This window comes from Homo sapiens, chromosome 3 (assembly GCF_000001405.40).
Source record: "Homo sapiens chromosome 3, GRCh38.p14 Primary Assembly".
In the NCBI taxonomy this organism is placed as follows: Eukaryota; Metazoa; Chordata; class Mammalia; order Primates; family Hominidae; genus Homo; species Homo sapiens.
The window spans coordinates 70,409,161-70,434,882 of record NC_000003.12 but is presented as its reverse complement, the minus strand read 5'-3'; the positions used below and the strand labels follow the sequence as shown (position 1 = coordinate 70,434,882).

The 25,722-nt window shown below is 35.3% G+C and overlaps 1 long non-coding RNA gene across 2 annotated transcripts in view; it reads right to left on the bottom strand.

Moving 5' to 3' along the window:
- Positions 1–293: 293 nt before the first annotated feature.
- The window catches only part of SAMMSON (survival associated mitochondrial melanoma specific oncogenic non-coding RNA), a 435,002-nt gene continuing 409,573 nt past the window's right edge, over positions 294–25,722 (bottom strand). For both annotated transcript variants that reach the window (NR_186031.1, NR_186032.1), the window contains one exon: positions 294–4,600. This is a non-coding gene — a long non-coding RNA (survival associated mitochondrial melanoma specific oncogenic non-coding RNA). The remainder of the gene's footprint in view (positions 4,601–25,722) is intronic.

Genomic DNA, 25,722 nt, shown 5'->3' with positions numbered 1-25,722 from the left:
ACCTTGTGACCCCCACTCCTGTCCGCCAGAGAACAACCCCCCTTTGACTGTAATTTTCCTTTACCTACGCAAATCTTATAAAACGGCCCCACCCCTATCTCCCTTTGCTGACTCTCTTTTTGGACTCAGCGCACCTGCACCCAGGTGGAATAAACAGCTTTATTGCTCACACAAAACTTGTTTGGTGGTCTCTTCACATGGACGCGAGTGAAATTCTCACCAATTTTATTTAACATAGTACTAGAAGTCCTGGCTGATCCAATAAGATAGGAAAGGAAATAAAACATACATAGTTTGGGAAGGAAAAAAAAATGTCTTTATTCACAGATGACACAGTTGTCTACATATAGAAAATCCCAATCAACAAAAAACTTCCTGGAACTAATAAGTGATTACAGCAAGTTTGCAGGGAATAAGATTAATGTACAAAAATCAATTGCTTTCTTATATGCCAATAATGAACACATAGAATTTGAAGTTTAAAGCATAACATTTATATTAACACAAAATTAAATACTTAGATATAAATCTAACAAGTATATTTAAGATCTCTATGAGGAAAACTATAAAACTTTGATGAAGGAAATAAAAAAGAGCTAAATATAAGAAAAAATACTCCATATATATGGATAAGAAGTCTCAATATTGCCAAAATGTCAGTCTTTCCCAATCTGATCTACAGATTCAATGTAATCCCAAACAAAATGTAAGCAAATTATTTTGTGTCTATCAACAAATGATTCTAAAGTTTACATGGAAAGGCCAATAGACCCAAATATTGAAGGACAACAAATTCAGAGGACGGTTATAACCCAGCTTCAAGAATTGCTTATAAAGCTACGTCAATCAAGAAAGTGTGGTATTAGTGAAAGAATAGATGAACAGATGAATGGAACAGAATAGGGAGCTTAGTAGCTTACCTGCATAAATATAGTCAACCGATCTTTGACAAAGGAACAAAGTATTAAATGAAGAAAGGACAGAGCTTCAACAAATGGTGCTGGAACTATCAACTATCTACATCCAAAAAAATCCCAAGAATCTAGACACAGATCTTACATCTTTCATAAAAAGTAACTCAAAATTAACTCAAGACTTACAGGCAAAACTATAAAACTATTACATAACATGGGGGGAAATCTAGGTGACCTTGGGTTTGTTGATTTTTTTTAGATACAATATGAAAAGCATAATCCATGAAAGAAAAAACTGATACATTATACTTCATTAAAATTTTAAAACTTCTCTGCAAAAGACAGCTATTAGAATGAAAGGACAAAGCACAGACTTGGAAAAATCTTTCCAAATATGTATCTGATAAAGGACAAGTATCCAAAATATAAAAAGAACTTTTAAAACTCAACAACAAGAAAGTAAACAATCTGATTAAAAAACAGGCAAAAGATCTAAACAGTCACCCCGCCAACAATGCAGATACAGATAGCAAAAAAGCATATGAAATATTACTCACCATTGAATACTATCAGGGAATTGCAAATCAAAACAAAATACCAGTGCACACCTATTAGAATGACTGAAATCCAAAACACTGTTAACATCAAATGCTAGCAAGGATGTGAGGCAACAGGAACTCTTACTCATTTCTTGTAGGAATGCAAAATGAAACAGCCACTTTGGAAGACAGCTTAGCAACTTCTTACCAAACTAAACATACCCTTATTATATAATCCAGCAAATATGCTCCTTGGTATTTGCCCAAAGGAGTTGAAAACTTATATCCACATAGAAATGTGCACACAGATGTTTATAGCAGCTTTATTCATAATTGAAAGTAGCTAAGATATCCTTCAATAGATGAATGGACAGACAAACTGTAGTATAATATATAGCTATAATGGTATATTATTCAGTAATAAAAGGAAATAAGCTATCAAGTCATTAAAAGACATAGGGGAATCTTAAATGCATATTGCTGAATGAAAAAAGTCAATCTGAAAAAACTACATACTGTATGATCCCAACTTTATGACATACTGAAAAAGGCAAAAGCTACAGAGACAGTAAAAAGATAAGTGGTTATGAGGGATTCTGGGTGAAAGAGGGAGGGATGAATAGGTGGAGCACGGGGTATTTTTAGGGCAGTGAAACCATTCTATATAATACTGTAATGGTGGGCACATGTCATTGTACATTTGTCAAAACTTACAAATGTACAGTGCAAAGAATGAACCCTAATGTAAACCATGAACTTTATTTAACAATAATGCATCAATATTGGCTCATCAGTTTTAACAAATGGACCATACTAACACAAGGTGTTAGAAATAGGAGAAACTGTGTAAGGATGTGGCAGGTGGGGGGCATCTATATGGGAACATTCTGTACTTTCTGCTCAATTTTTCTTTAAGCTTAAAACTGCTATGAAAATATAGTTTATTAATTAAGAGATAGCTTAAGAAAATGAGTAAACAGGCAACAGATTGAAAACACAATACATACATTTGATAGTATATATATATATATATTTGACAAATGAATTGCATCTAGATATATAAAGAACTCCTAAAAATTAATAAAAGATGGATGGCCTAATAAACATGGAGGAAAGGACTAACATATACCTCACAAAAGAAGAGATATTAACAGTCAATAGGTACATGAAAAAAATCCACAATGAGTTAACACTTCACATCCATAAGAAAGGCTAATATTAAAAAAAAATTGTTGAGAATATAGAGAAACTGGAACTCTCATACATTGCTGGTGGAAATGTAAAATGATACAAATTCCTCGGTTTGGCTGTTTCTTATAAACATTCTCAGCTGATGACCAAGCAATCCTACTCAGTGGTTTGGAATAAAAACATATGTTCATACAAAGACCTACATGTACATCTTTATAGCAGCATTATTATTAATAGTTAAAAAGCAGAAACAAAATATGCTCAATTTGTTAATAAATACATTGTGGTATATGTTTGAAATGTAATACTTCTCAGCAATAAAAGTTGAATGAACTGCTTGTCATGCAAAAGTCTCAAAAATATTTTGTTAAGCGAAAGAAATCAGAACCTGAAAAATACATGCTGTGTGATCCATTTATATGAAATCCAAATATATATAACTAATCCATTGTGATAGAAATTAGATAATAATTTCACAAGGGAAATTGGATGGAAAAGGTCATGAGGACACTTTCTGGGAAATATTCTATATCTTGTTTAGAGTGATCATTATATGAGCTTATACAATTGTCAAAAATCATTAAACGGAAGACTTAAGATCTGTGAATTGTGTGTTAATTATAGCTGAATAAAAATGCCCAGAGGCCAGCACAATAAAATATATTTACATAAATTCAAATGTACTCTACTGTACAATGAGGGTAATCCTTTGTTTCCAAACTAATTTTTTTAGAGACAGATTAAAATATTTTATTATATTTCTATTACTTTTAGAGATTCCTATCCTGAGAGAGTTTCATTCTATATTAATATACACAAAACTAAATATCCCAGAAGAGAACCATGCAGTGTTCTAAAGTGTCAGACATAAACACAGGTTATACCTGACAAAGGATCTCACAGATTTCTTTTTCACCCAAAACTAGAGAAATTGATGAACTTCTATAGAGAAGCTATATTTTTACCACTATTATTATCTTAAAAATGTAAAATTTGAAACAGAAAAAGAATAAACAACTTAGTGAGGGCTCCATTTTCACTGAAAAGTGATATTTCTTCAAAGTTGAAAGCATTTTGAGCTTTTCTGAGGCCTCCATATACTCTCGTAAGTTTTTATGGTCTCATGTAAGCTTTTTTGAGTGAATTTCTACTCCTTCCATCAAATAATAACTCAACAGAGTGTCCAAATAATTCTCTAAGAAACCAGGAGCTTGAAGGAAAATTCAGTGATCATCTCTCCATATCCAACCACTGAATAGTTGAAATATATTAATTTCTCAGGTGAAAAAAAGTAACTGAATGAGAGCCCAGTATTGAATTAAATAAGGTATCTTCCAAATCCTGGTGGAATTTTCTCAGAATGAAAATGTATAAAAACTAAGGCTGAGAATAAATTATAACTATATTGCAATTGAGGCACAAATGCTAAACTATATCCTATAGTATACATCAACCAAATTCTTGATTAATCTGATGGGTTGAAAAATATTTTTAAATATCTTGATCTTGTCTCAATTTATGCCCAGTGGGTAGAGACTCGATTGGTGCTGATAACAATAGTAAAAATAATGGTAAAATATTGCTTCTTCGAGTAATTTCAAAGTTAGATGCCTATAATTTAAGGTTTGTGCTTCTTCTTTGGCTTCACCAACTCAGGGATTCCAGATATGGTCTTCTGCATACTCTTTTCCTGGCTACTCCCATTCAGGCCTCAAGCTCAATGTCTCTTTTTCAAAGAAACCTTTCTAGACTGCTCCATGTTACTCCTTCTACTAGATTGATCTCAAGTCACATGCTCTCATAACAACTTGTAATTTTCCGTTGAACGTATTATAATTTTCATTACATAACTATCATTGTGATGATAGTGGCATACCGAATCCAGCAGCACATCAAAAAGCTTATTCACCACGATCAAGCCAGCTTCATCCCTGGTATGCAAGGCTGGTTGAACATCTGCAAATCAATAAACGTAATCCATCACATAAACAGAACCAGTGACAAAAACCACATGATTATCTCAATAGATGCAGAAAAGGCCTTCGATCAAATTCAACACCGCTTCATGCTAAAAACTCTCAATAAACTAGGTACTGATGGAACGTATCTCAAAATAACAAGAGATATTTATGATAAACCCACATCCAATATCATACTGAATGGGCAAAAGCTGGAAGCATTCCCCTTCAAAACTGGCACAAGACAAGGATGCCCTCTCTCACCACTCCTATTCAACATAGTATTGGAAGTTCTGGCCAGGGCAATCAGGCAAGATAAACAAATAAAGTGTATTCAAATAGGAAGAAAGGAATTCAAGTTGTCTCTGTTTGCAGATGACATGATTTTATATTTAGAAAACCCCATGGTCTCAGCCCAAAATCTCCTTAAGCTTATAAGCAACTTCAGCAAAGTCTCAGGATACAAAAATCAATGTGCAAAAAAATCACAAGCATTCCTATACACCAGTAGTAGACAGAGAGCCAAATCATGAGTGAACTCCCATTCACAATTGCTACAAAGAGAATAAAATACCTAGGAATCCAACTTCCAAGGGATGTGAAGGACCTCTTCAAAGAGAACTACAAACCACTGCTGAAGGAAATAAGAGAGGACACAAACAAATGGTAAAACATTGAATGCTCATGGATAGGAAGAATCAATATCATGAAAATGGCCATATTGCCCAAAGTAATTTATAGATTCAATGCTATCCCCATCAAGCTACCACTGACTTTCTTCATAGAATTAGAAAAAAACTACTTTAAATTTCATATGGAACCAAAAAAGAGCCTGTATAGCCAAGACAATCCTAAGCAAAAAGAACAAAGCTGGAGGCATCATGCTACCTGACTTCAAAATATACTACAAAGCTATGGTAACCAAAACCACATCGTACTGGTACCAAAACAGATATATAGACCAATGGAATAGAATAGAGGCCTCAGAAATAACACCACACATCTGCAACCATCTGATCTTTGAGAATCCTGATACAAACAAGCAATGGAGAAAGAATTCCCTATTTAATAAATGGTGTTGGGAAAACTGGCTAGCCATATGCAGAAAACTGAAACTGGACCCCTTTCTTATACCTTATACAAAAATTAACTCAAGATGGATTAAAGACTTAAATGTAAGACCTAAAACCATAAAAAAAAACCTTAGAAGAAAACCTAGGCAATACCATTCAGGCCATAGGCACGGGCAAAGACTTCATGACTAATACACCAAAAGCAATGGCAATTAAAGCCAAAATTGACTTAATTAATATGTTTCTATCACTTATTCTATCTAAAGTTCCATAAGGGCAATGATCTTTTTAACCTAGTCATCACTGTAGCTCCAGTCTTTGACATTGTATAATTACTGAGTAAGTATTTGCTGAGTGAATGAATCATCATTGGAAGAAAGATAACAAAATAGTTACAGAATTGGCTTCAAGATAGACATATAAATCAATAAAAAACAATCAAGTACACAAATAAACCCACTTTTAGATAGATCACTGTTTAGAGATACACTCCACAACTATTTCCAATGCCAGGACTTTATAATTTGCACTAATTAGAGAGATATTTTGGACATTTCAAATCCTTCACAAAATTCTATGCTAGCGTCCTATATAAGATACCAAAGTCAGAAGAAAGAAATCACATTTTTAGAATACAACACTCGCATTAGCATTAGTCATTGGATTCCAAGTTCTTTTTTATATATAGATATCCCATTGTTTCAGTATCATTTGCCAAAGCACTTTTCCCACTGCATTGTCTTTGCTCCGTTATCAGAAATCAGTAATTTATCTAAATGTGCATGTATTTGTGGACTTTATTATTTTCTATTGTTTTACATGTCTATCTTGAAGCCAATTCTATAACATTTTGATTATTGATTCTTGAAATCGGGTAGTATTAGCCTTCTAACTCTTTCTTCTTCAAAAAAATTTTTTTGGCTATTCTAGGCCGTTTGCATTTCCATGTGAATTTTATAATTAATTTTTCAATTTCTACAAAAAGTCTGTTAACATTATAAATGGATTGCATCCAATCTTTAGATCAATTTGGAGAGAATTGATTTCTTAACATTATTGAGTTTTCTGACTCATGAGCCAAAATATATATCTTCATTCCTTTAAATTTTCTTTAATTTCTTTCCGCAGTATTTTATAGTTTTCAATGTGATGGCTTCTCACATATTTTGCCAACTTTACGCTACAGTATTTTAATATATTTTGTACTATTGTAACTAACATAAAATTATTTATTTAGAATTTCATTTCCTGACTGTCCATTGTTAGTATATAGAAATACAACTGGTTCTAAATATTAATATTATATCCTTCAATCTTCCAAAAATCTAAGATTCCATGTCAGTTGATAAAGATTTCCTTGAAGTTAATTAACACTGAAAGCAAGAGACTCCGCAACTATTTCCAATGGCAGGCCATTACAATTTGCACTAATTAGAGAGATCTTTTGGACATTTTTTTTTTTTTTTTTTTGAGACGGAGTTTCGCTCTGTCGCCCAGGCTGGAGCGCAGTGGCGCGATCTCGACTCACTGCAAGCTCCGCCTCCCGGGTTCATGCCATTCTCCTGCCTCAGCCTCCCAAGTAGCTGGGACTACAGGCGCGCGCCACCATGCCCGGCTAATTTTTGTATTTTTAGTAGAGACGGGGTTTCACCGTGTCAGCCAGGATGGTCTCGATCTCCTGACCTCGTGATCCGCCCATCTCAGCCTCCCAAAGTGCTGGGATTACAGGCGTGAGCCACCGCGCCCGGCCCTTTTGGACATTTTTAAGAGGATCACCTTTTAGGTAATCCTCATGGTATTACCAGAACATTTAGTTCAGTGCTTTTGCCTAAGTGAGATAACATGGAAGAAATACACCTTATAAACCTTAAAATTCTATACAAGTATCAGTTAGTAGAAACTACTAACAAAACACAATTGAACAATTGAATGAGCAGATGACTACAACAATGAATGCCTAGAAGATCAACTCTGAATGTAGAAAATCCTGTCTACCGTTGCAGATGTTGTATGCTGTGTCACCTTAATAGAAATGTGAATGTTAGCAGGCTTTCCCAACCCATCTCTTAAATCTGATCACATTTTAAAATTAACTACATGAGTCACAATATTCATTCTTGTCTTAAACTGAGGGCAGATTGAGTGAATGATGGAGTGACTTTCTGAAGAATTTAAACTATTCACAAACTATCAATATCTTTATTGTATATGCCTTTTAAACAAAAGTAACATTTTATTCTCTAATTACCTTGGACAACCTAAGTAGAGCTTATTTAAGAAATGTTAAATGTGAAAGTGATCCAGAAATGAGCTCAGTTTTTCAACTCAGACTGAGCACGCTTCTGTATGATCCAGATGCTAGGCAGGTTCAACTTTCTCTTTCAAAGTTTAACTTTCATCCTTTCTATAGTTGAATCTTCAAAGATGTCAATAATCCTAGACAAGGGATCTATGTTGTTCAGAGCATACAAAAAACTCCACTATCTTGTGACAGTGTTGGTTTGGGAATGGCTAAAACTTGTGTCTACTGGCATGGAAATGACTCTGATATTGGAAAGGCTATTACAGGAAGAGGAATTTTCAGGCTACCTTGCTACTCTTGTTTAGGGGAAGAAGAATGAAGAAGAGAAGGAAGAAGAGGAGGAGGAAGAAGCAGGAGAAAATCCAGAACCAAATCCCCTACTTTTTCATGTTTAGTGTAAAAGTTTAAGTGCTGCAGAATCCTCAACCCGGGAATCCTTGCATACTTTGAAGTACCATTTCAATGGGAGAAACTCTTGATCAGGATAGGTTGTCTCCTCAAAATGATTTAGTGTTTATAGTTCCTCTTCCAATCTCTGCTTCAGTCATAGTGGTTGTTTGCAATATACTATTGTTTCTAATGAAATATATGCTCTGTTGAGTTTAAGGAATCTGGGGACAGGAACTTCATTCAAGCTGTCACATTTGGTTTGTTCACTGTCAGACAAATGGTCAGGATCAAAGGATGCCCTGAGAAACAGCCTATTGGATGACATAGAACAATAGGCTTGCCAAGTTTCTAATTATTTGTCATGTCATTTTATGTTTAATAAAAGAACTCAATATTACTGGATTACTGAGTGATTTATGAAGGTTTAAGGAAGCAGTTACTAAGTAGGAAAACATCACATGTGCTACCTTTTCTGGGTCTTTCCTTCCAATCAATATTGCTTCTGTTAAGTTTTCAACAGGAGCTATACATTTAGAATGACATAGGTTTCTGACACTATCACTGAGTTTTAAGAGCCTTGGCTGCAGATGGTAAAAAGATAACTTCAAAAATGTTTATCTCTGTTGCATGTGGCCCCAAGAGAATTACTAGAAATGTTTCCTTTCAAATAATGTGCAACAAAATTTTAGTGATACTCTTCCTGAGTCCTTACAGGGGTCTCAAAGAAAAGGAACTAATTTTTAGTCTTTTACCATAATTAATAAATTATTATTCCCAGGCATTTCCATCCATTGTGTAGAAAATAGACAACTTGGGCACGGTGGCTCATGCCTGTAATCCCAGCACTTTGGGAGGCGGGCGGATCATGAGGTCAGTAGATCGAGACCATCCTGGCTAACATGGTGAAACCCCGTCTCTACTAAAAAAAAGAAAAAAAATAGCTGGGCGTGGTGGCGGGCACCTGTAGTCCCAGCTACTAGGGAGGCTGAGGCAGGAGAATGGTGTGAACCTGGGAGGCGGATCTTGCAGTGAGCCAAGATCACGCCACTGCACTCCAGCCTGGGCGACAGAGTGAGACTCCGACTCAATAAATAAATAAATAAATAAATAAATAATAAAAAAATAGACAACTTGAAATAGGTTGTCAGTCTGCTGGTTAAGAGAGGATATTTGCAAAATTTGAAGGCAGATCAGGGAGTTTCTTCGTTCAATTTCTTTTGTGCTCCACCTAATAGAGAATAGCAATGCTAAAAAGTAGATTTGAGATCATTAAGTCTAATATTCTTATTCGACAAATGAAAAAGCTGAGAACCAAGGAAATTAAATGATGTGACACATTATCATTGCTTATTGGAGAAACTGGGAAACAGTGGTCAGAACACTGATCGCTTGACACATAGTATAGTGCCCTGTTAAGTCAAATTGCCTCCTATAAATGTTCCTTCTTCTCTTTCCACTTCTTCCCCTTTTCTTCTTCCTCCCTTCTTCCTCCTCTTCCTTCTCCTTCTCTTTCTCTTCCGCTTTTCCCTTCCTCTCCCTCCTTCTTTTTCTCCTCCTCCTCCTCTTTCTTCTTCATCCTTTTAGTTTCATTGTTCTCAACTGGGGGCAATTCTATCCCTCGAGGTACAATGTCTGGAGACATTTTGCAGTTGTCACAACTGGAGAGGGGGTGCTACTGGCATGTAGTGGGTAGAAGCCAGGGATTCTGCTGAACATCCTACAACGCACAAGACAGCTCCCTACAACAAAGAATTATAGATCAAAATGTCAATAGACAAAGCCTGCTTTACCTACATTGAATCTGCAGTGATTAAAGGTGAACCTAATCTAGAACAGTCCTTTTTTAAGTAGAATTTTTTATATTCTTAATGACCTTTTATGTATCACTCCATTATGCAAATAAAAGCCGTATTTTATTTGAATTGATTTATTTTATGGTCTCAAATCCATAATTTTTACATGTTATAAAGTCATTCAATGGAAACCACAGTTAATGTGTCAGTGTCATCCAGTGTGAAATTAAAAAAAAACTTGGTATTTAACATATTTTAGTACATTTGTTGTTTTTCATTATCATTTGAAAAAATGTGTAAAAATGTGTTTAAAAGTGAAATCCAAATTAAATATTTTAAAGATTCCTAAATTACCTCTATAGAACACCAGAGTTCTGTGGATCACTTTGGCTCTGATCTGCATGTTATAACCCCAATATAATATATTTCAGTTATTAAGATAATTTTTCAAAAAATTAAGCACATAGCTTTTATGTAAGTGAGAAATTAATATGAATCAAGAAGTATTTAATTAATTAATGAGATAACCAGTGGAATATTAAAACTTATTCAAAGGAGATTTTCAGTTTAAAAAAGCCACACAAACATGTACATAGAGTTTTGAATATTGACATCATTTAAGGTAATCTTTTCTACACAATGGAAATCAATTGTATCTCTACTGGACAAAATTAATTTGCTTCATTATGATAAAAAATGATTGCTACTTAACTTCTATCACTATAGAGTTATAAAATCACCTAGACAATAGACCAACAAAGGTGCACATCCCTGTAGAATCTGATAATTCCAGACCAGAAAGATCTGCTAAACGATGACCCACACTCCACTGAAGATACCTAGTAATCTCTTTTGCCCATTTCCAAATTGTTGACATTATTTTATGACACAAATCAGTCTTAGAGTTTCTGTATTATGAAGAACACTTATAAACATTTCCAGGTTTTATTTAAAGACCTCACTCCTCCATTCTGTTCTTCCTAACCCCCAAACATACAGAGTTCCAAGAAGTCCTACACAATTAGGTCAGCTGAGCCTATACTTTTTAGACCTCATGTTAGTTAAAGAGGAAAATGTTAATTACTTAATGTAAAAATAAACCAGGAGAACACGTTTTTTCTCACTGATTGCCTGACTGTTTTCTGGTACTTATAGCTGAGAGAGAAATTAAATTATCATCACTGATTGGAAGTTCAATGCTTGTTTTTATTTGGGGAGCAATCTGGAAACGCAGACGCTATTAGGTAGAAGGTAAAATGTGATCTCCATGCCTAAGTGCTTGGCATGCCTACCTGGAAGAATGCAGCAATATTTCTAGAATCAAAATTCTTACAGGTAATAAAACCACCTTGATTCTATTCCTCCAAGAAAAGGCAAAGAAAGGGACCATTCTTACAACATTTTACCTGATTTAAAAGGAAACACATTTGTTCTAGAAAATTTGTAAATTACAGAAAAGCACAAAGAATACAAAATATACTTGTAATCCCCAGCCCCACTGGTAACATTGTTAACATGTAAGTATCAGTTTATTCCCTTTCTGGCTCTTTCTTACTATTTGTCTCATCTTTCTCAGTCTGTGCTTCTCCCCTTTTTCATGTACACATATCTATTTATTAAACAAGCAATTTTTAGTAAACATTATGTATATAATTTTGGTAACTTGTTTTTTTCATGTAATGATATATCCTTTCCCTGCCCCTAATGTTTTTTACAACTTCATTATAAGTGACTCTGTGAATTTTATTATAAATATACAAAACATACATTTTATTAAAATTTTTATTATAATATGGTTTACCCAAGGATGTGTTAAAATCTGAGTATCAATGAGATAATCATATTAGATGATTTTACTATATTTTGACTCCAGGTGCATATTATTTTCAAAGATATCATTGCAGTTGCTTGCTTTTACATGTAATTTTAGAAAATGAGTATCATTTTGGTGCTTTTTTTTATTTATATGGGTGCCACCAGAAGAAAAACACTACATTCTGCACTGTATTAACTAAATTTCAAAAATTGTTTCAGTTTTAAACTTTCTTAAATTCTTGGCTTTATGATGACCCTTACTAGGGTTTTCATAGGTGAATCTAACAGAAAAAAATGAGAAAGTCTTAATTTTTTTAGATGTTTACAAAACTATACAAGGTGCACAGTACAATGTGGATACAATTTGATTTTTTTGAATTCAGGCAGTATTACACAATAAATTAGTGCCAAGTAACTCACAACGTACTATAGTAGTATTCTAGTTCAAATTTCATTATCTGAAAGATTTTTTTAAATCAGAGACAAGTAATACGTTGTTTATAATAAAATATTAATATGGTAAAAGCAAAGAAATTACCTAATGTACGTTAGTTAATAAACATAACACTCTTCTTAGATTCTAAAAACAAAATATTTGATGCTGATTTCAACTCTTTGTTAGAGGTGAAGGTGAAGTTGGTGGGGGAGTTATGGAGTAAAACAGACTTGAAGAAAATCACCTAAGAATAACAATTTTTTTCATTTTATGCCTCTGTCCTCTCTTTTAATATTCATTTTCCCATATACACCTCTTATTAAATATGTAAAGTGCCTCTGATTTTTTTTTTACCATTCTTAGTTGAACATCATACCTCATCTAACAAAATATTGAAAAATTATGGTCTTAAAATTTTTAGCACAGTAAATACAAGGTTCCTCGTAAGTAGTTCACACTATCTCTCACCTTCATGTTACTTGTGGGTTGCATTTTTTAATGGACCAGACATTAGTCAATTCCATCTACATTTTCACTGGTATAAAATACCAGCCTAATTTATTTTAATCAACGTAGCCCTCAGCCATTTCAAATATCTTAAGGGAAAGGAATGGAAATCTCTAGGGCACAAGAAAACTGAAAAGTGTGAATCACCTACATTTCTCATTTACCCATGCTAATTAAGACCAAGCATTTGAAAGTTACCATCTGAAGGAAAATTAAGCCAATTAACCCACTGATGAAGATAATTTTCAATATTCTATCAGGAGGCAAAAATCTTCACCAGCGCTTCTTATTCCTACTGTGGAGATAATTTTCATACTGTCTCTGAGCACTAAGAACTTAAACGAGTGTCATGCCAGTTCTGTGGGTTCTAATTGCAACTTTTATTTAAATTCTGATTTTCTGCCCCACAGCTCGATTTCTGATTGGCTGGACCTGATTGCTTTCAGACCTGATTAGATTTTATTTGTAGGCTCTTGGAAGCCTGCATGGATGAACATTCTCTGAATTTAGAAAGAAATCCTCCTAAGATCTAGCTTTTCTATATCAATTGGAGCATAAGAACCACTAGAGGTTCTTTAGGAAAGGGATTAATTTGAGAGCATTAATTATCAAATAATTATAGCCTATCTATAAGTTACTCATGAAATGTATTTCCAGATCTAAAGCTGTTTGTCAGATGAATACAATTTTTTAAATTTCAGCATATGCAGCTTTTTGTTTTTTATTGTTTTTCCTTATGCCGAGAGTCAGCTAGCATAGCTAGCATAAAAAAGACACTTATATTATACTAAGAAATGCCTTTACTAACTGTAACTGAGCAAGTAACTTTGCCCATTTCTTTGGAAGATCTTTTCTTGTTTAGGGGAGGAAAGACTGAAAAAATTAAATGAGATGGAATTATATGTATATAATCCTGGGGCCTTTAGACATAAATGAAAGTTGTAGTTATTATTTCTCTAAATATTTTAACACTTTTCATAATTTAGACAGCAATAAATTGGCATGCACAGAATAAAAAAAAAATAAAGCAAAACTGTTATCTTACATCTGGCTCTGTTCATGCTTTTAGGTTATCTGTAGAGCCACTCTACACTTTCGAATTTATGATCCTTGTTCTAGGTTCTCCATCACTGGCATACACCTACACTTAATCTTGTATACTTTCAGCTCAAATACATTGGGAGAAATGTTAGCATCTTTGCTCAATGAGGAAAATAAACCAACAATCTCTGTCCAACTTCCCACAATCTCCTCCTGGATTTTATCTCTGAATCTAGAGCATTCAAACTGTATCCTAAATGCAAGCAGGAATAATAATCCCATCAAAATAAAAAGCCCAAGCAAGTTAACTACAATATTACTAGGTCAGAGATGTTCAAATACCCTTTAGGAAAAGTCTGTTTTTTCTAATCATTAAGATTGCATGTAAATTGAAATAAGTGCATATTATACTCAACTGTACAGTATTTACTATTAATGGTATTTTATGATGATAGTGGTTCTCGTACATTAATTCTTGGAAAATAGACACTATGAGACAGTCACTTTCCCCATTTTATTCAGAGCAGAATCATATTATGGTACCATGAGCTACCAGCACATTTCTGAAAACAAATTTTTCTTTCTCTTGAAAATGTGAGCTCCTTTGACTTTGTGGTGAGTTTGGAAGCAACTACATGTATGATTTTCCTGGTTTGGGCTTAATGAGTTCCATGACACTCAGTGGAAAGAGCCATGAAATTATAAATACAAGAAAACCCACCAGGTACCTAAGAGGACCTGTGAGACAGCTAATAGTTCTATTACCAGTTTATTATAAGTAAATTCACCTCTACTATCCAAGGACATGGACACTGAGCCAGAAAATTCAGGGACCTTTCACCAGGAAGGCTCTTCACACAGTCCATGCCTCTCTTCAGCCTTACCTGCTTATCTCTCAAAGAGTTTTTGGGAAATTGTTAATCCTTTTCTTCAATGAAGAATATGTCAATTAACCAAGACAAAAAACTCTATGTATAAAACTATTTTGCTGGGCGTGGTGGCTCATGCCTGTAATCCCAGCACTTTGGGAGGCCAAGGCAGGAAGATCACGAGGTCAGGAGATCGAGACCATCCTGGCTAACACGGTGAAACCCCATCTCTACTGAAAATATAAAAAATTAGCCGGGTGTGGTGGCAGGCACCCGTAGTCTCAGCTACTCGGGAGGCTGAGGCAGGAGAATGGCGTGAACCCGGGAGGCGGAGCTTGCAGTGAGCCGAAATTGCACCACTACACTTCAGCCTGGGTGACAGAGCGGGACTCAGTCTCAAAAACAAACAAACCATTTTCAGATAGCATAATTGTAGTGGGGTTTCCACATGTTTGGGAGTCTGTTTTTATTTCTTAGATAACCTATGCCCTGGAATTGACTTTCTCAAGCCCTCATTCCAATCAGTGTTGTATTAGCAGATATAGAAATATCTAATCACAGAACTTACCTCAAAGACTGATCAAACATAAAGGGAACCATTTGGGAACAATAACTATGCAGGAGGATAAAATTTGGAGGTCTTAAGTGAGACCTCTTCCCCCCATGCATAACATCATTGACTTAATGGAGAAATTAAATAGTCCAAAGAAAACATCAAATCTGGCCAGGCGCAGTGGCTCATGTCTGTAATCTCAGCACTTTGGCAGGCTGAGGCGGGTGGATCGCCTGAGCCCAGGAGTTCGAGACCAGCCTGGGCCACATGGCAAAACCCTATCTCTTCAAAAGAAAAAAAAACGCAATAATTAGCCATGCGTGGTGGCAAACACCTGTAGTCCCAGTTACTCAGGAGGCTGAGGCGGGAAGGTCGTTTAACACTAGGAGGCAGAGATTGCAGTGAGCAGAGATCATGCCACTGCACTCCAGCCTGGGTGAAAGAGTGAGATCCCTGTGAAAGAAAGAAGAAAGAAAGAAAGAAGGAAAGAAAGAAAGAAAGAGAGAGAGAGAGAGAGAGAGAAGGAAGGAAGGAAAGGAAAGGAAAGGAAAGGAAAGGAAAGGAAAGGAAAGGAAAGGAAAGAAAGCAAACATCAAACCCTTGGATTTTGAGTTCCATTAGAGCCTTCTGATATTCAAAAAAGATAATATTTTTGACTTGCAATTAAGAGAAGAATGATAGCTCACTACCTCTTTCCCAGATAAGGCTTGTCTGGAACAGAGAGGAACAATTGAAAAGAAAGGAAGAGAATTATACACTGCTGGGTTTCAGAGAATGGGCTTGTACTCTGCCCTTTTTCTAGGTTAAAACCCTAAAAGGAGGAGTGGGCAGGTGGCTGGAAGAGGAGCTGAATTTCCCCATCTCCTGAGGGTGACAGAGACATTGGCTGAGAGATGACTGTTGGAATTGTAGTGTCTAATGGGAGAAGATAAAGTGGCAGACTGTCCATCAATGCCATTGGGATGTGCAGATGCCGCAGCCAATGCCAGGATGGCAGGGTATTTATACTGGAAACTCAGGATGGGCTGGATTTCAGCAAAGGCAAGAGTAAGCAAGCTGAGCCAGAAGACAGATGCCCTGACATCCACCCCATTCCGAGATAATACATAAGTACCTGACCACCCTAGGAAAAAGGAGGAAGAAGAGGAGAAATTTAAAATGAACAGAGAGTAACCTGAAGTGGTGAATACACAAAGGTGACTTTGTTTACCTGGAGTTTTCTAGATTAAGTTTTTCAATATTAGGTGGATTGGGCTTGAACAGACATTACGTTACTTATGGGAGGAAACTATCTTCATTGTACACTGCTCCTCTGAAATTTGTTCCCTGCTCCTTCTGAAAGGGAAAAGTAGAGGCTCCTTCAGAAGTCAACACTAGTCAGCATGATCAAAGACAGAAATACTTGAGATTAGTGGTCAGATTATTGATCCAATAATGTGGCCACTCTGGTGCTGAGGTCCTGGGACAGAAACTTCAGGGATGACCTAACCTGGATTCACAAAATGAGGCAAAGCTCCCACAGTGTCTCTTCCCTCTTCTTGTGGCTAGCAAAGCGTCTATTTCTTCTGAGTTTTGACCCTACCCCATCAGGATGAGGGAGCTGTTCACCACATGCCTTTCAGGACTTGCAATATAAAGAAGGGGCATAAGACCCAGCCTGGCTTTAACCCAGGTGACCTGTAACCTGGGAGTGGGTCTGTGATCAAGAAGAGCCAATCAGAATCCTTTTGTAGGAGAGAGACAGAATCTCTCTCTTTCCATGATCAAAGTGTCTATAATCATGAAGACCTTGAGTTACTGGGTCTTTGGGACCACAAAAAAAAATAAGCTTCTTTAAAAGGAAGCTAACTCAGAGAAAGTAGTAGAGAAAGACACAGAGAGGAGGAAAGATGATACTCGTAGCTGAGCTCCTGGATCCACCTATGTCTGAAGTTCTGATCATTCTTGGATTTTTTAAGTGCCTGGTGAAATACATTTCCATTTTTAATTGAGCCAATTCAAATCTGTCACTTGGAACCAAAAAGTCCTGAAGAATCTAAATCAAAGCTCTAAATTAAAGAAAAATTCCAAGTACCATTGTACAGAGAAAGTTGGATAAGATAGCCTCACATGATCATTGTCCTAGGGAAAGATAATTTAAGGAACACTTCCATACAAGGATGGTTTAACATCTTGTTCTGTCTATGGCTCTTTAAGTTAATGAATGATATCAATTTAAAATGACACCTAAGTCAATTTTACCTGACTGATGACGGTTCTAGGCAGTAGGCTGACCAAACCTAATGATGATTGACATTGGTAAAGGGGTAAAATACTCTGAGGGGTAAAATTTCTCTATTCAGGAAAGCGTGTTGGGTTTTACTCCTGTGCCAAGCTATCTGAAGGCTTTGTTCCAGTTGGCTTCTACACAATGTTCCACCTGGAACATTGCGTAGAAGATGATTCTGAGGTCCGGGCTCAACAGAAAAGCGGTCTTAGCTGATTAGTGATGTCTGTCATGGAAGTTGGAGGGGAAGAGGGTAGAGTCTATGCCAGATGTTTTTCTCTATTCCTGCCCTGGGTATAGAGTATCATTCTCAAATGCAGAGACCCTGAGCAATGGCTTACTCCAGGGACAGTGAAAAAAATCTATTAGCTCCTGTTAGCTTCTACAATCAGTGGAAATGTACATGGGTAATATCTAACATTACAACTAAAATACTTATTCTTTTTTATGGAAAATTCTTATAAATTTCACTAAATTTAAAGGGGTTCATGCTGGTGATATAGATCCCTTTAAACAGTTTAAGATGAGGGTGGGGTGAAGAGGAGAGACTACATCCCACAGAGATGAGTTGCAATTATATTTAAATCAGCCATGAAATTATGTGGCTGGTTAAAAAAACAACAGCAAAATTTCTGTCCAAAGTTTAGACAATGTATGCAGAAAATCACTCCAGATTGTATTTAGATTGATTTGGTTGACAACAGAAGGAGCAATGCAGTGTAAAATACCATAATTTTTACCACCCATCCGTGAGTAATACACTGCTAAGATATAGCATATTTACAGTAAAAAAGAGTCCGGATTTGTCCCAATTAACCTTGTAACTAGATGTACTCCAGCGCTTATTAATGACAGTAATGAGATGCAGACAAGACAATGCATTAAACATCATTGGCATATAAATTAAATTCACATACAGTTTAAAAGGAATAGATACCTTTATGTACTGGACATGAAGGGAAATTATTAAGAAGCTATTTCATAAGAAAAAGCTAATTAGAAAGAAAATTCAATACTTTCTCTAGTGCTCATCTCCATCAATGTTGGAAACAAGTTTGACCACGAACTGAGAAATTGTTCCCATTGAAATTACTGTGCAAGGTATGAAATTAATTTTATGATTGTCCCAATGGAAGCTACAGTAGCTACAAATACTTATATGCCCATTATCATTCTCCTCTATATTGGCCTACATTTTAATTTGCTTAGGTTTCTATCTAAAGCTTATGAATAATTTAAAATAGATCTTCCTCTGTCTTTACATCAAAATAGTGATAGGAGAACGAGATAGACATTTTGCTGTACACAGAATCCAAACTCAACAGCAAAAAAATGTGAAATGTAAACTAAAAGATTGTTTTAAAAGGTCATTTGTAAGATTACATAATTAAAGGGTAGCTCGGTGTCCAACATTTAACAACATGATTCTTGCTCAGAACATTTGGTAATTAGCTAGGAGAATTCCAGGCAGGATTGGAGTATTCTAATGTTACTCTTCAAAAGATTGCATCCCATATCTCAAAAGGAGCATCTAAAAATTTTTCAAGGCTAAAGAAAATTTGAAATTTGATTAGGAGATTGACCTCACCTGACAATTGTTAGAACATATTACCATATTGAAAGCCTAAAAACAAAACTGGGTCTTCCCAATTGTCACAGGCTAATAACTACTGCTTTTTCCCTCCAGCTCTGATTAAAAACCAGATCCAGTCTTATAACAATAGCAGCAACAAAAAAAGGAGGGGGAGCTCCTCCCACTCACCTATGTAATAAACATCAAACAATCAGGTTGGCACCGACATTAAGTACAACGGTGTCAGAGCCACCATCAGAAATCAATCAAAGACATTTTTCCTTTGTGATTAAATTTTTTTTTTATTCACAGCAACTCAGAGAACCAAAGAGGAAAAGCAAGCTTCTAAACAAAAACAAAATTAGTAACAGCAGACCCATTGCCAAGGGCAACATGCGCTTGACAGAAGATGCGAAGATGACAGATGAGTCCTCATCCCAGTCTAAATTTTGTCTACAAAATGAATTCATAATATCTTAAATATTACCAGCCACACTTCACTCACCTTTGTTTTACACAATGGAAGGGGGTCTTGTTGGCAGAAGTCAACAGGGGTGTTATTTCCTGTATTTTCCCCCTTGGGACCCCCCCTCATTTTACAGTTGACAGTAATTGCTATAGTTTCTCTCCCTCTTTCCAATTCTTTTCAGCTTTTCTCTATATGCATGGATCTTTTTTCCTCTCCTCTTCTCCTCTGCTATAAAGTTGCGGTTGTTTAGTTTCAGCCATTTGGACCATGAATTTTTAACTGATTTGAAAATGCTCTTAACCAAAAATTATATTTACTTTAGAAATTTCTTTGAAAAAGTAAGTATTTTCATAGACTTCAATTTAAATGATTTCATCTTTTAATACTAAAAGTTGTCAGATGAGGTAGATGAGGTTCACTTTATAAATGAATTAGATGAGGTCCATTTTATAAATGAACTATATGAGGTTCATTTTACAAATGAGAAAACAGATCCAGAAAGATTACGTGATCTAACTAAGGTCACATTAAATACCTAATGTTCATATGGTCTCTAAAATAGTTTAGCCAACTATTTCTAGTTGTATTTTGGACTCTGATTTTGATTCTCTCATAACTTCATGGGAAAACCAGTTATTAGTTACCTTCACTGTTTAGATCAGGAAGAGTATTAACTTACTGAAGATCACACAGTAAGTGACAGTCTTACTAAGTGCAGGTATAGCCACCTTTGCAGGGGATGCCTTTTATTGCGATACTGTAATAGGTTGGTTATTTATGAAAACATACATTTCATTTTTATATTTGTTACTTTTTAGTTATTTTCCTCTTACTCTAAAATTAATAAACTAATCATTTTGATAAAGTCTAGCATCTCATTATATTTTAAGCTTTATGAATATAGTAAGAAATGGGCCAGAGGTTGTTTCTCAATACCATGTCATGGGATGAGCTGAAATGACCCATGATAATGGGTTTTTACATGTTGTGAACCAGAGCAAATCAGTTTTATACTTGTCAAAATTTGTGCCTCACACAAGACTTTACAAACTGCTTAATGATCAGAAACTAGAGATTTTCAGAGGCCTCTCAATAGAACCAAGTTATCTAAGATAAATGTAGGACAGGTATCAATAATTATTCTCATATTCTATTTATTAAGCTCTTTTCTACAAAAGACTACATACTCCCTTCTCCTACTTTCTGTTTGCCTGATATGCTTCAGAACAGTTTTTAAAAGGACTAGCTAGAAAACAATATTGAGCCTTCAAGCACACTGTTTAGACAGACTGTAAAGGTAACAAAAGGTGCAATTAACAAAAGGGACTGCAAACTAATAATGGCAGAGCTATTTATTATTGAATCGTCTTCCTCTAATTTTAGAAACATGAAGAAACTTCATTTTCTATTGTCCATATTTTAATGAATGCCTATTATTTTCCCTAAATAGTGCCCTTTTTTGACATGCTATTTATACACACAATTTCTGAAAATATATAGAATATGCATAGCAAGCAGAATCTCCACAAAATGTTTTGTAAGAAGTATTTGGGTCTCTTTTGTCTCAGCAATGTCTTGAGGACAAATATGTAGTTGTGCCCTCTTGGGGGAATTCCAGCCTTCAGTTTCTTTTTATGTAATTTTAATATATTTGATGTTGTATTTTGATTACTCTGCGTACATTTTCTGCTTCTACAATTAATTTGGCTTCTGTAGGACAGGCTTACAATACAGCACTTCAGCTGGGTGCTGATTTCCTTCTCCTGGTCCTTTTCAGGGTGACTTTGCATGAATCCACTTGAGCTATTACACAAAGAGCAATTTCAGAAAATTTTTTATGTGGAACTAAACACAGAAATGTTTGTCTAGACTGAAACATAGCCTAAACGGCCATTGAGGCAATAGAGAGTTCAGCTTGACATATAGGAAAAATAAAGATTGAACACTGGAGCAGATTACTAAAGAAGGCTAAAGAATTTCTGTTTGTAGGTATCTCAAATTATAGTACCTAAAAGAGGCGTTTCAAGTTAGAAGCTTCAGAGCACACAAGATATTTGACATTTCCTTCACTTGTTTGGTATTGTGATTTCTTTATTTCTAGTTTCCTTAAGTAAGGAAATACAGGTTTTAAGACTTCTTTTAAGGTTATTTTCTTAAGAATTGCCGGTTCTGTGCTAAGAAGAAACAAAAACAAAAACAAAAAACAACAACAACAAAATAACTGTTTAGTTGAAGTTGCCGCCATTCTTAAAGTCTGCTTGCTAGGCATCATTTTTGACTTGAAATACCTTAACTTGTAGTTGGTCAAGCTGAGAATTAGAATAATTATTATTGTAATCGCTGACAGACTTGAGGCACAAGAATGTTGGCAATATCTTAAGAACAACTTTAGCCTACTAAGTTGAGTACCCGATTTTATTCAAGATGTCACCAATTCTAGTTATAGAAATGAAGCCCCTTGGGCTTCTAAGTAGACTCTAATCTACCAACTATTTCCATCTTATCCCTGCTAAGCGACAGCAGTGCATTGCTTTGACATCAAAGCAGGAAAAGGAAATATCGTGTTAAAATACCATGAATGTGCTGTTGATCTGTGCTACTGATGTCCTCATCATAACCCAGAAAGCATGACTTACTTATACTTCAACTTTTAGCAAACACTTCTGCACCATTCGATATCCTGTGAGCAAAGCAACCACTTAGTAAACTGACAACTCTTTGTTCTTTTGACTTGATCACTTTGCATACTTACACTTTTTCCAAAGTTTAAAGAAACTGTAAGCATCTAGGCATTTTAGTCTTTTATTTGTTTTGAAAACTATTTTAATAATTAAATATTTTGTTAAATGTACTATGCATTAAGAAAATATTAAGCATATAATTTCAAGAAGGTTGTTGGCCTCATGTGCTTATACTAGGATGTACATATGACATAATGTGGGGGTTTGACCCCTACACTACATCACATTTAAGGAAGTCTGTCTGATCACTTTGGTAAGACAAGTCCATAATGGTTAATATGTTTTTACATATTCAATTCATGAAGTTTAACTGCTTTTACTTTCATCAGCATTGAATTAGTCCTTTAAAAGCTTCCCCTCATTAACATGAAAGGAAATTGAAAAGTGAATAGAATGGGTTGTGAGATCATTAAAAATTAGTCTAAACCAGGAGGAAATGTCCTTCTTGGTTCTAAACAGTTGAAGTAGTTTTTGTTACATGTTTCATGTGTATATACATTTTTCATCATTATTAAAGCATAAGAAAAAATCATTCTCATCATTATACATATGCTGTGTGTATGAGCCCATTTTCATACTCCTATGAAGAAATACCCACGACTGAGTAATTTATAAAGAAAGAGAGGTTTAATGGACTCACAGTTTCACATGGCTGGGGAGACCTCACAATCATAGCAGAAGGCAAAGGAGGTGCAAAGGCACTTCTTAAATGGCGGCTGGCAAGACAGTGCATGCAGGGGAACTGCCATTTATAAAACCATCAGTTCTTGTGAGACTTACTCACTATCACGAGAACACCACAAGAAAACCTGCCCCCATGATTCAATTACCTCCCACTGGGTTCCTCCCACAACACATAGGGATCATGGGAGCTACAATTCAAGATGAGATTTGGGTGGGGACACAGCCAAACCATATCATTGTGATACCCAGTTAACATCACAAGAACCAAAAAATTTAAATGTCTAGAAATAAACAATGAAAAAATAGTTGTTGATTCTGCTATTATAAGTGGATATGCTGAATGTTTCTCACCTAACTATGTTGCTGTAGGTGGATGAAAGTTCTGTACTGAAATGTTCAAGACTCTCCTGTAAAATGAAATTTCTGTCCACAAATCAAGAACTACTTCACTTATTTAAAATCCTTACTTCCAGAAAGACTGAAATCTAAGCTATCTAAAGCTAACTGTATCTGACAAAGAGAATATAAAAACTTCATTTGAAAATGAATCCTAAATCTACCTCCCTTTTAGTCAAGATAACTTGGCAAAATTCTTGTCTCTGTTGGCTTTAAAGTGCTACTTTTAGATCTCCTTTACAGGCTGTACCTGTGCTATTTTACGTAGATCAATGATGGTCTTCAAAAGAATTGAAGTCTAATTGCGCGGGGTAGGGGTAAATAAAAGGATGGTCGGTTGTGCTAAACAATGTCAATGCACTTGGCTTCTTGGATATAATAATGAATGAGACAGTGCTCCGGCCCTCAGAAAATATACAGCCCAATAGGTGGTAACAGCACAAATAGATTGAAAGCATAAAGTAAAAGATGCCAATTTCTTATGGGTTTCAGTGAAAAGAGACAATATTTTTGGAAGGTCATTGCTGTGCATTGTCCTGCTAAAAGCAAGCCCTAGTAATAACTTCCATAATCAATTTCATGATAAATACTTTTCATTTCTATTTACGGCAGTAGGCAGAGGGTTAAATTATAATTTCTTAAGTTCATTATGCTGCTTTGTTTTAAGCTATAGCCTAATCAAATTTAAGCGATAGTAACAAATTATAAAATTGTGGAGATTGAATTTTATTGCCACTTTATAATTCTCATTGCCATAATGAAGGTTTTAAAAAAATCTTGCAGTAAAGAAATATATTTAGCCTTCATTAATCCAGTGTTTCTCTAACTTGTTTGTTTCTGAAACCCTTTTTTCCCTTCTCAAGTAAACTTATATTTAGGCCTCCTGGAAGTCATGTTCTAAATGCACATTAAAAATAGACCACGTACTTGATATCCTTAGTGTAGACTATCAATGTCTTATTATATTTGTCTTTTAAACAATGTCTTAGGGGATGAAAAGCCCAAGAGCAATGATTAGAGAGTAGAGGTGACTGACAGTCAAGGCACCAGAATCAAGGTGTCATCTTCACTTCTGCAGCTACAGAATGAACACTATACCTGGTTTTCTAAAATAGGGCATGTAGCCTAGTGGAAGACAGATTGTAGAACGGATTCACAAGCAGGGTCTGGGAAGGAAGGCAACATGGATGCCGACAGCATGAGGCAAATGGAGAGGTAACTAGATATTCAAAGTCCAGATGGAGAATAGTTTAGGGGGAAAAGATTTTTCAGTTCAGAAGCCTGAGGCTTGTGGATCAAAAGTCAAGGTTCTAAAGGACATAATAACAACAGGTTTAAATAACTCTATCTCATGGCAACAGTAGACTGGGGACTACTAAAGTGGAAAGTTGGCAGGGTGGGTGGGGCTAGGGGGTTGAAAAACTGTTGGGTATTATGCTCACTACCTGGATGATGGGATCAGTCATACCCCAAACCTCAGTATCATAAAATATACCCATGTAACAAAGCGGGACATGTACCCCTTCGATCTAAAAGTTGAAATTATTTTTAAAAAAATACATGAAAATGAATAAAAGAACAAATCTATCTATCTTGCACTCTGAGACTTTCTTTTTCTAATTTCCAACACCAACAAGGATAATAAAAGCAGGAGTACATTTTTACAATATTGGCCTTATTACTATATCAATTGTGCCTTAATTTGATCTTTGGTTCCAAAGAGCCTTGATGACGCAGACCACCTCTCATTTTACAGAAGAGGAAACCAAGCATGGGAGAGGTTAAATGACATGGATAAGGCCTTATAATTACTTGGAGCCAGTGTTGCAACCAAAATACATGTCTACACATTCCATGATCAACACTTTACACATTTAAAGTTTTTCTCTAATTCTTTTTTTTTTTTTAAGCAAAGCCTTTGTCTTCTGAGGCTTTTCTTCTCTCTCTTAAGTGACTTTTGATCTGTATGCAAAAAACGTTGTGTGATAAGTTTTTCTATTTAGTCATATTTTATGAAATTAATCTCAAAGAAAATTAAAATGTCATTTCCAAATTCTCATATCCTGATGGAATGTTATCAATTTATTAAATGAAATATATTTTTGGGGAAATGTCACAAAATAAAATAATGGTTGGTATCAATGATTATGTTGAGTCATCAGAATACAGTCCCATGGCAAATTTCTCAATTGTATGATGGTATAGTTTGGCT